Source organism: Homo sapiens, chromosome 1, assembly GCF_000001405.40.
Source record: "Homo sapiens chromosome 1, GRCh38.p14 Primary Assembly".
Taxonomy (NCBI): Eukaryota; Metazoa; Chordata; class Mammalia; order Primates; family Hominidae; genus Homo; species Homo sapiens.
The window spans coordinates 178,769,852-178,782,370 of NC_000001.11; the positions used below are offsets into that span (position 1 = coordinate 178,769,852).

Consider the following 12,519-nt stretch of genomic DNA (forward strand, 5'->3'; position numbering starts at 1 on the left):
CCAGGGAAAAAGTGTCACAGAGAGAGGCTCTCTGCCTTTCTTGCATACTGGGGCCTCACTCACTTTTATCAGCCTGTGTTCTCCTTCCCAGGCTCTGGGTGTCGTTTATGATTCCACTGGGTTTCTGTTTTCCTTCCTGAATTAAAGCTTACAGAGTCGATTGCTTCTTTTTTTTTTTTTTTTGAGACAAGGTCTCACTCTCTTGCCTAGGCTGGAGTGCTGTGGCATGATCACGGCTCACTGCAGCCTCAGCCTCCCAGGCTCAGGTGATTCTCCTGCTTCAGTGTCCTAAGTAGCTGGGACTACAGGTGCACACCACCATGCCTGGCTGATTTTTTGTTTTTGTTTTTAGAGATAGGATTTTACCATGTCACCCAGGCTGGTCTTGAACTCCTAAGCAGAAGTGAAGCAATCCACCCACCTCGGCCTCCCCAAGTGCTGGAATTACAGGCTTGAGCCACCATGCCCAGCCCACAGTTGATCTTTATGCACTATCTTGATATTTCCAAGTGGCTGATGCATGCTAAAAGCCTCTAATCAACCATGTTGGGGGGAAAAAGATGCCACATTATCTTTATCATTCACTTTATTTTCTCTGTCACACGTATACATACTGTTTTCCTGAAATATTTAAGATTAGTTTGCATACTTCATACTTTTTTTTTTTTTTTTTTTCTGAGACAGTCTTGCACTCTCGCCCAGGCTGGAGTGCAGTGGTGCAATCTTGGCTTACTGCATCCTTAGCCTCCCGAGTAGCTGGTACAATAGGCACCCACCACCAGGCCTGGCAAATTTTTGTATTTTTAGTAGAGACAGGGTTTCACCATGTTGGCCAGGCTGGTCTCGAACTCCTAATCTCAGGTGATCCATCCACTTCAGCCTCCCAAAGTGTTGGAATTACAGGCGTGAGGCACCGCGCCTGGCCACCCTTTTACCTCTTAGTACTTCTGCGTTTCTTAAAAACAAAGTTTTTTTATGTTGTTGTTGTTTTTTTTTTTTTTTTTGAGACGGAGTTTTGCTCTTGTTGCCCAGGCTGGAGTGCAGTGGCACTATCTCGGTTCACTGCAACCTCCCCGTCGCGGGATCAAGCTATTCTCCTGCCTCAGCCTCTCTAGTCGCTGGGATTACAGGCGCCGGCCACCACGCCCAGCTAAATTTTGTATTTTTAGTGGAGACGGGGTTTCACCATGTTGGCCACGCTGGTCTCGAACTCCTGATCTCAGGTGATCCACCTGCCTCGGCCTCCCAAAGTGCTGGGATTACAGGCGTGAGCCACCGCACCCAGCCTTCTTTATGTATTAATAACTACAGGAAATTGTCACATTTAGGAAATTGATATGGTAATCTACAGTCTATATTCCAATTTTGTGAATTACCATTAATATCTCTTAAAGCATTTACTACCATCCAGTACAGGACCTTTAGTTGCCATATCTCTTGAGTTTCCTTTAAATTGTAATAGTTCTTCAGCCTTTCTCATAACATTGGCATTTTTTGAAGAATATATTTATCGAATGTTTCTCAGATTAGACTTGTCCATGTCCTTGAGATTAGATTTCAGTTATGGGTTCCCAGCTCAACTTCTTGTCAGTAATGTTGTGTCCTTCCCGGAGTATCATCACATCCAGAGGCACATGATGTCTCTCTTTTCCCCATTGGTGATAATAATTTTGATGTACTCAGTTAAGGGATTGTCCAGTTCTTCACACAATATAGTTACTTATTTTTTTTTCTTGTAACTAGTAAGCAGTCTGTGAGGAAAAACTGTTTTTGTTTTTTTACTTTTTTCTAATTAATGTCTTTGTAGGAAATTTAAAAATATACAGGTAAGCTAAAGTTAGGGAAAAATTGTCATAAACCTAGCGATAACCACATTTTAGTGTATGTTGGTTCATCTCTCTTCTTTATGTTATAATAATGATTACCAAAAAGGACTATACCTTAAATACTGTTTGGTAAATTGCTTCATTCATTTAGCAGTATATTATAAATATTTTTTTCATGTGTCATTAAGTATTACAGTATTTTAATGGCTGCATAGTTTTCCATTGTGTAGCAGTCACTTGCCTATAGATTGTTCTGTGATGTTCAGTTTAGCCTCACATTCCAGGTACAAGAGATCCTTAGTGGCTGTCCCCTAGGGGTTAGGGAATCTCTTAAACCCAGGAGCCTCCAAGCATGGAATCTTGATGTCTGTCTTATCCCATCAGCACTGCCATGTTGTTTTTCTGTTCTGCTGTTCCACACTAATATGCTATGTTCCTTTCTCTGACCATTCCTAGGTCCACAGTAGCACACTTTTGTCAAATATTTAAACCTATTTCTGATTCACTTGGGTTGTTTTCATGCTTTAACTGCTAATATTGTATCCAGATGTTGGTTTTCTTGTTTGTCTTATTGCAAATATAGGCTATAATGAGTTAAGTGAACTTTTATGGGGTAGTCTTCTGAGTAGAGCATCTGGCCAAAATACCTCATACCCACCAAAAACAAAAACACAAAATATTTGGAGAGCACAGTTTATCTTTTTATTTGGAACTTCTTTGCTATTACCTGAATTTCTAGTTAACCTATATTCGTATTTTGGGTCAGGTATCTTAGGAGATCTCAGCTCTTGTCTATTAGGATTACTTAGCAAATTATCTTAGTGAACTTTCTGTACAGGAGATAAAGCATAACCTTTAAATGCATTATTTTATAGATTTTTCTCCCTTTAATATTTAATCATTTGAAAGTCTCTCTTCTACAAGTTGTTTAGTTTCAAGCTGTTCAGGTATATGGAAATATAACCTTTCTGTATAGATGTGGGACAGTTTACAAATGAATCAGCCCATACTTTCATAGTTTAGTTCAAATGTGACAAAATTATATTTGGAAGACTTAGGTGTAGAATCTCTTTTTATTGACTGAAGGCAAAACAATTTTAACTTAAGTGAATGAAGTAACTTTGTTATTTTTAAACATTTTTTTGAGGCGGAGTCTCGCTGTCTCCCAAGGTGGAGTACAGTGGTGCAATCTCGGCTCACTGCAACCTCTGCCTCCCAGGTTCAAGCGATTCTCCTACCTCAGCCTCCCAAGAAGCTGGGATTACAGGCACGTGCCACCACACCCAGGTAATTTTTTGTGTTTTTAATGGAGACGGGGTTTCACCATGTTGGCCGGCTGGTCTCGAACTCCTGACCTCAGGTAATCCACCTGTCTCAGCTTTCCAAAGTGCTAGGATTACAGGCGTGAGCCCCTGTACCTGGCCTATTTTTAAACTTTTCTTTACACTTTGAGAAATAACGTCTGCTATTTTATAGATGATGATGTAATAGTGATACCCTGTCTCTAAAAAAATGTAAACAGTTAGCTGGGCATGGTGGTGCACACCTCAGCTACTCAGAAAGCTGAGGTGGTGGGAGGATTGCTTGACCCCAGGAATTGGAGGCTGCAGTGAGCTAAGATTGTGCCACATGCTCCAGCCTGCATGACAGAGCAAGACCCTGTCTCTTAAAAAAAAGGCTACTGTGATGTTGAGTCATGTTGAAAGATCTTGTCATTTATAACACAAAGAAAAGTAAATAAAATATTAAAGCATATATTTGGCATATTTAATGTGAACTTTTCTGTGTGCAAAGTATAGAAAGGTCTTTGAAGGACGTACTAAAAGAATAAACTCGTATCTCTGTCTTTTAGAACTTGTAGTACTTTTATAATATCGTATAAGCCTCTCTGTTATACTTCAACATTATTAAATACTATTGACTCCTGGCTAACACGGTGAAACCCCATCTCTACTAAAAATACAAAAAATTAGCCGGGCGTGGTGGCGGGCGCCTGTAGTCCCAGCTACTCAGGAGGCTGAGGCAGGAGAATGGTGTGAACCCGGGAGATGGAGCTTGCAGTGAGCCAAGATCCCGCCACTGCACTCCAGCCTGGGCGACAGAGCAAGACTCCGTCTCAAAAAAAAAAAAAATACTATTGACATGTACATTTGTAAATAGTTACGAAAAGTTTATATTCTTTAAGGTATGCTTTGCTATATTTTAAAATATGTAATGGATTTTAATGTGACCTTAATTTTCATGAAATACATGGGTGACAATTTATTTTAAAAGCAGAGAAGGCCAGGTGCAGTGGCTGACGCCTGTAATCCCAGCACTTTGGGAGGCCAAGGCCTGCAGATCACCTGAGGTTAAGAGTTCGAGACCAGCCTGGCCAACATGGTGAAACCCTGTCTCTACAGCCTGACCAACATGGTGAAACCCTGTCTCTACTAAAAATACCCAAAATTAGCTGGGTGTGGTGGCTTGTGCCTATAATCCCAGCTACTCAGGAGGCTGAGGCTGGAGAATTGCTTGAACCTGGGAGGCGGAGGTTGCAGTGAGCTGAGATCATGCCATTGCATGCCAGCCTGGGCAACAAGCAAAACTCTGTCTCAAAAAAAAAAATAAAAGGAGAGAAAATGTGATTCTTCATGCTTATAGTTTACAAATATTTTAATATTGTTCCTGGTCTGTATTACATTTTTTTAAGTAAAAGTAATAAATTGTATATTTTGATATGTAAAGTAAGTTAAAGATATAACTCCTTTACCTATTAAATTAAAATCTTTTTCTTAGCACTAGGGGGCACCCCTGATTTATAAATTCATGTTATACTTAATGTTGCCTAGAAAGTGGAATGAAATGTAATTATTTGAAAAATATTTTGCAAACTGAGTGCTATGTTCAAAGAGAATCTGGATTATCAGCTGGTTTTGTTGCATAGCAGTATAAATATAAGTTGATTCTTAATACTATAAGGATAATGAAGCTTATAGAATAAGATAGTTTAGATGGGAGGAAATTGTTTTGTAGTTTATTCATTTTCACGTTGATTTTCTAAGTAGGTGCGTTAAATGGTTTTAAAACTTCATGATTTTGAATATATTTCTGTTTTAAAAATCCTAGCACGATGTTCTGCTCTTAGCAGGTACCTAGGCTGTATCTGAATAAATTAAGATAAATTCAAGATGTGACTGAAGGCTGCTATCATTAGTAATAATTTTTAAGCATTTCAAAACCAAGAGCATGTTTTACTACTTCTAGGAAACAGATCTTAGCCATTCTCATTCATTGTGTTTGCAATTAGGATTTTTAGTAATGCCCAGCAACAATTGCTTCCCAAAGGTGTATTTCTAAGGTTTTGTCTTTTCTTTTTTATTTAAGAGACTCTGTTGAATTTAAGCTTTATGGGAATTAAGCAGATAGTAACATCTGCATCATCATTACATCATAGTAATAGCATATTTACCATGTGCCAACACTGTTTTAGGTGCTTTGTGTATATTATCTCATTTCGCTTCACCACAACTCTATGAAGTAGGTACTTATTATCCCTATTTTATAGATGAGAAAACTGAGTACAGAAAAGTTAAAATTTCCTGGGTTTACACAGAGGTAATGTGGTTCCAAAATTTGTGCTTTTAAATCACTATATCCTATATTGCTTCTCCAGAGAAAGGAAACTTAGCATTGAAGTAATTATTATTAACATTTAAAACTCAGCTTTTAAAGTGAATGTAGCATAGAGTACCTAATTTATAGACACTTACCATTTCTCTTATGAAAAACGTCATAGATCTTTAAAGTTGAAAAGGGATCTTAAAGTTCATTTACCACTGTCATTTTACAAAGAGGAAGAAATTCTGTCCTAGAGGTAAAGTTACCTACTCAGTTTATATGACAGGTTATTTATGGAAAGGTATTAGAACTTCAAGTAAGTACTCTGACTTCCAGTAAAGTGGAAAATCTGTGTTGTGAAAAGAATATTTGACTAGAATTTTGATGGCTTGAAACTTGTTCTTGGCTCCTTATTTACCATCCTGTGTCCTCAGAAGCTCTGTGTTTGTTTGTTATGTGGGTATATCTTCCCTAATTAGTGTTATTGGTAGTTGTGCAAATCAACATAATGTATTAAAGATATTTAATAAACTTTAAAGTCCTATACAAATAAACATAGTGTATATTATGGTACAGTAAAGCCACCATATCCATGGGTTCTACATCTGGATTCAAACAAATCTGAGTTGAAAATACTTGGGGCAAAAAAAAAAAAAAAAGGATGGTTGCATCTGTACTGAACATGTACAGACTTTTCCTTGCTATAATTCCCTAAAAAATACAATATAACAACAATTTACGTAGCATTGGCACTGTATTAAGTATTATGAGTAATCCGGAGATGATTTAAAGTATACAAGAGGATGTGTATAGGTGATATGCAAATACTGCACCATTATATAAGGGCCTTAAGCATCGGTGGATTTTGGTATCTATAGTAGATCCTGGAACAAATCCCCCATGGATACTGAGAGATGATTGTATTTTTATGACATGTAGTTCATAATATTTTAAGTATTTGTGATATGTTGGTAATCTAGATCACTAGCTGTGATAAGCTTATTCAGTATTGTTGATTTACAGGTGTCATTTGGATCGCTAAAAATTTATTGTGTTGTGGTATGTGTTACTTTGCCACCTGTGTTTTTACACATTTTATTTACTTTAAGAAAGTTGTACATTTGATTTTTTTCCCTCGCAATACCCACTTAGCGAAAAGTTATGCTTTTGCTTTGCTTATGAAGAACATAACAATAACATCTATTGAATACTGTTTATTTGGTGTTCTGATTGTTTGAAAAGAGCATACAAGATTGTCCTCAGTTTGGATTTAGCGACTGAGCTAAGATAATAAATAGAGTTTAGTGAAGTTGAAATTTTTGTTTCTTGGCATGGTGGTAGGCATAGAGTTGTTTTCTTGAACTTCGAGGAAGACATTTGCTTAACTTTTTTTTTTTTTTACAGGAATAATGTATTTGTGGCCTTGGACATGAGGCAGTCAGTCCTCTGTTGCTGTTAACATAAGGTCAGGGACTGATGAGGAAAGCATGGACCTAATGAACGGGCAGGCAAGCAGTGTCAATATTGCAGCTACTGCTTCTGAGGTAAGATATTTAAGAAGCTTGGGTGTAAAGTTTCTTACCTGGCTTTCTAATTTTTCAAGCATTATGTTTGTTCACATACTTAAATCAGAAGTGCATTTAGTGCAGAAATACACATTTCCTTTTTTTTTAAATTTTATTTTTTTTTATACTTTAAGTTTTAGGGTACATGTGCACATTGTGCGGGTTAGTTACATATGTATACGTGTGCCATGCTGGTGCGCTGCACCCACTAACTCGTCATCTAGCATTAGGTATATCTCCCAATGCTATCCCTCCCCCCTCCCCCCACCCCACCACAATCCCCAGAGTGTGGTATTCCCCTTCCTGTGTCCATGTGAAATCTCCTTAAGCTGATAAGCAACTTCAGCAAAGTCTCAGGATACAAAATCAATGTACAAAAATCACAAGCATTCTTATACACCAATAACAGACAAACAGACAGCCAAATCATGAGTGAACTCCCATTCACAATTGCTTCAAAGAGAATAAAATACACAGGAATCCAACTTACAAGGGATGTGAAGGACCTCTTCAAGGAGAACTACAAACCACTGCTCAAGGAAATAAAAGAGGATACAAACAAATGGAAGAACATTCCATGCTCATGGGTAGGAAGAATCAATATGGTGAAAATGGCCATACTGCCCAAGGTAATTTACAGATTCAATGCCATCCCCATCAAGCTACCAATGACTTTCTTCACAGAATTGGAAAAAACTACTTTAAAGTTCATATGGAACCAAAAAAGAGCCTGCATCGCCAAGGCAATCCTAAGCCAAAAGAACAAAGCTGGAGGCATCACACTACCTGACTTCAAACTATACTACAAGGCTACAGTAACCAAAACAGCATGGTACTGGTACCAAAACAGAGATATAGATCAATGGAACAGAACAGAGCCCTCGGAAATAACACCGCATATCTACAACTATCTGATCTTTGACAAACCTGAGAAAAACAAGCAACGGGGAAAGGATTCCCTATTTAATAAATGGTGCTGGGAAAACTGGCTAGCCATATGTAGAAAGCTGAAACTGGATCCCTTCCTTACACCTTATACAAAAATCAATTCAAGATGGATTAAAGACTTAAACGTTAGACCTAAAACCATAAAAACCCTAGAAGAAAACCTAGGCATTACCATTCAGGACATAGGCATGGGCAAGGACTTCATGTCTAAAACACCAAAAACAATGGCAACAAAAGACAAAATTGACAAATGGGATCTAATTAAACTAAAGAGCTTCTGCACAGCAAAAGAAACTACCATCAGAGTGAACAGGCAACCTACAAAATGGGAGAAAATTTTCACAACCTACTCATCTGACAAAGTGCTAATATCCAGAATCTACAATGAACTCAAACAAATTTACAAGAAAAAAACAAACAACCCCATCAAAAAGTGGGCGAAGGACATGAACAGACACTTCTCAAAAGAAGACATTTATGCAGCCAAAAAACACATGAAAAAATGCTCATCATCACTGGGCATCAGAGAAATGCAAATCAAAACCACAATGAGATACCATCTCACACCAGTTAGAATGGCAATCATTAAAAAGTCAGGAAACAACAGGTGCTGGAGAGGATGTGGAGAAATAGGAACACTTTTACACTGTTGGTGGGACTGTAAACTAGTTCAACCATTGTGGAAGTCAGTGTGGCGATTCCTCAGGGATCTAGAACTAGAAATACCATTTGACCCAGCCATCCCATTACTGGGTATATACCCAAAGGACTATAAATCATGCTGCTATAAAGACACATGCACACGTATGTTTATTGCGGCATTATTCACAATAGCAAAGACTTGGAACCAACCCAAATGTCCAACAATGATAGACTGGATTAAGAAAATGTGGCACATATACACCATGGAATACTATGCAGCCATAAAAAATGATGAGTTCATGTCCTTTGTAGGGACATGGATGAAATTGGAAATCATCATTCTCAGTAAACTATCGCAAGAACAAAAAACCAAACACCGCATATTCTCACTCATAGGTGGGAATTGAACAATGAGAAATACACATATTTTAACTTTTATTTTAGTGATTCGTATGTTCCCTGTGCATCATAGGTATACTTAATCCTTATCTACTTAAGATACTTGAAAAATAATGACAAATAATGGTAACTCATAAAACTCTTTATTTTTAAAAGAAACATAGAATTTCTTTTTAGAGTATTTTTACATTACATCATCCTTGAGGGCAATAATGCAAGTAAGGCAAAGAAAGATTCTTTTACTTGGAATCACTAAATTTTGGACCCATCTAGATCCCTTGATTCCACATATATTAGAGGAAACAAAAGAACCGTTAGGCTGGAATGTTGTAAGGGCTTACTCTGCTGATGTAGTTTAGCATTTAAGATGGAGATGTGAAGACTGAACTAGATGCTCACCCCTCTAGTTAATATATTATGATTGTATTTTTGCCCCAACTTTTTTATTTTTTTCTTTGTGTATAAATCTAGGGAACTTGCCTGCTTTCCTTAATAACTTTAGCATCTGGCTTCTATATTTCTTATTTTTCTCTTAGTATATTGGATGAGAATAATGTTTATGACCCTTTAACACCTTGACCTCAAAGTTCCTTAATAGCCCCAACTCCATTTTGCCCCAGCTAGTTACTTAGGCCTTGATATCACTGAAAATAGTCTAAGTCTATGGTTTCAATTGTTTTTGTTATGTAGATGATTTATTTTTATCTCTAGCCCTGGCTTCCCTCATGAATTTTATTAAGCATTTTTGATGGACCAGACATTTTAATGTCCACAAAATCAAGTTTCTTATTACTGTTCTGCTCCACAACCATAAAGAAAATAGTCCAAGCCTTTTCTCTAACTTAGGTTAATAGCATCACATTTCCATAGCCATCTAAGTTTAAATCTTTAGATGTGTTGTTTATTTGTGGTGGGGTTTGAGACAGAGTTTTGTTCTTGTTGCCCAGGCTGGAGTGCAGTGGCACGATCTGGGCCCATTGCAACCTCTGCCTCCCAGGTTCAAGCAATTCTCCTGCCTCAGCCTCCCCAGTAGCTGGGATTACAGGTGCTTGCCACCACGCCTGGCTAATTTTTGTATTTTTAGTAGAGATGGGGTTTCACCTTGTTGGCCAGGCTGGTCTTGAATTCCTGACATCAGGTGATCCACCTGCCTTGGCCTCCCAAACTGCTGGGATTATAGATGTGAGCCACTGCATCCGGCCAATGTGTTGTTAATTTTTGCCCACCACAACCATTGTCTCATCATAGCAGAGAGAATCTGCTAGCAAGACAGAAGTTACAATCTTATATAACGTAATCATGGAAGTGACATCTCATCTCCTTTTCCATATTCTGCTGGTTAGAAACAAGTCACAGGTTCTGCCCACACTCAAGGGGAGAGGATCACACAGGGTTGAGAATACCAAGAGATAGAGATCTTTAGCAGCTATCTTAGAGCCTGTCCACTGTGCTTTATCTCTGGGATCCAGTACTTTTCTCCTTATTTCTATTACTGTACTACCATGTTAGTTTGGTCGTTTATTATTTCTTGTCTAGATTAGTGCCATGACCTTTTAGTTGGGTGTTGCACTTATATTTTCTGTTGTTTCTGATCCTTCAACTGAAATTTAAGTTTAATATTCTTAAAATACAGCTCTTAAACTTTATCTTTTCTCAAAACTGTCTGTGGTTCCTCATTGCCTACTAATTAAATTTAAATGCCCACTGAGCCTTTTATTCAAGACTTTCTTCAAAATGGCCCCAAATTTTTGGATTTAACCCCTACTAATCCTCTACTTGAAACTTAACAGTCTAATGAGAGAATACTACATTTGCTGTTGTCTGTATAAACTATTACATTTTCCTTCTTCTGTCATAACTTTGCCTATACCAATGTTTCTAGCTGGAATTTTTCTTCCCATTCTGGTGTGTCCCCTCCCCATCACTGCACACACAAAAAGTTTTGTCTTTCAAACATATTTCAAATGCTATGCTTTTAATAAAGCCTCTCCTAATCCCTTAAACAGATGGGAGCTTTCCTATTTTTAAAACTGTCACTTAGAAAAATCTCTTTCTGTAATTTTCTCCGTAAATGTATGCATAGCTTTTTTATATTTACAACCATAAGATTATGTTTATATATATGTTTGTAATATATGTTTGTTTTCTTTGTATATTTATAACCATATTTCTTGAATATGTTATATATATATATATGTATGTGTATATTTTTAACTATATATCCAGAAATACCTGTTCTAGTATCATAGGAAGCAGAATACAAATATTTGTTAAATAAAATAGATCATTTCACTTGTACAAACAATTCTGTTGACTTTACCAAAAGTGAATTAATTACATCAGGCTTCAGAGTAGTATAATTAGCAGTTATAAAGTAAGAGTGAAAAAAGTCTGCCCTTTAAATTGTCCATTTATTGTGGCAAGAAAATAAAATTAAAAATCTGTATTTTCCACCTTCTCTCAAATTATAGGTCTAGTAACATCAAAGTACAAATTTCTTATAGAAGTGATAAGCTTACAGAATGGATAAAATACTTTATCCTTTTATATTTAACTCGTGTTTGAAGTTTCCGTCAGTAGGAGAATTACAGTGAACTTGTTTTCAGACATTTAGAAGACATTTAGAAGTTTTTGAGTCATGCCTTGAATGAATTATTGCTATTCTCCTGGTGAACATTATTGCTTAGTGTCTTATCATTACCAATTTATTACTGGTATTAGGGAAGCATGTCAAAATGCACACTAGTAATTTTTAAGCCTCTAATGGCCATTAAGAAGGAAAAAAGAGAAGTGTTTATTCTTTTTGATAAGCAATAAAATTGTCATGATGGTTTACTAACTTGGATGAGTTAAAAACTTGGAGAAAATTACTGATTTATGTTTATGATTCATGTGTTCACCTGACAGAATGCATCTGGTTATTTGGACAGCTATTGGATTAGTGTATACTGTTTAACTGATGTCTATTTGAATACTTAACATTATGAAAAAAATGTTTTATTAGTTTTGGGATGTAAAATAATATTGTTGACATACTATAAACTAGTCATAGTTACAGAGATTAAACACAAGAAATAAAACTCCATTTTGTTTATGAGACTTGAGGTTTCTGCTTGGATTCATTCACTGGAATTCAGGTTTCTGCTCAGATTTGTAAAGAGCTTAGAATTCATCACTCCTGTCCTCACAATAGGAAAAAAGCTAAACAAACTGAAAATCAATAACTCCTCTTAGCTTTATCAGAGAATTGCTATAACAGAGCACATTTAACAGTGATGCCCTGAAACCTGGAGAGAGAGGCAAATAGAGAATCACAGCTTACGGGAGCAGAAGTCAGTGGAGCCACGTAAACCCTAATTGATGAACTGCTGGAGACAGTGTGTGGACTAGCTTGAAAGTTAAAAACTCCTTGGGTGTCCAGTCTTAGATTCTTCTCACCCTCTGCTTTTGTGATTTTTATTACCTCTAGGATGCCCACCAGTTTTTCACAGTAAAGACAGAGAAAAATTCACTTCTGCTTCTAGCAGGAGGAGGAAAGA

The 12,519-nt window shown here is 37.0% G+C and overlaps 1 protein-coding gene across 8 annotated transcripts in view; it reads left to right on the forward strand.

Annotated features, from left to right (window-relative positions):
* Window positions 1-12,519, forward strand: part of RALGPS2 (Ral GEF with PH domain and SH3 binding motif 2) — a 196,597-nt gene that overhangs the window by 44,608 nt on the left and 139,470 nt on the right. For all 8 annotated transcript variants that reach the window (NR_174383.1, NR_174384.1, XM_047423755.1 and 5 more), the window contains one exon: window positions 6,831-6,970. Coding sequence is in view for 6 of the 8 variants with exons in the window: in XM_047423755.1 (XP_047279711.1) it covers window positions 6,914-6,970 (57 nt within the window). In the remaining 2 variants the exon portion in view is untranslated. The remainder of the gene's footprint in view (window positions 1-6,830; window positions 6,971-12,519) is intronic.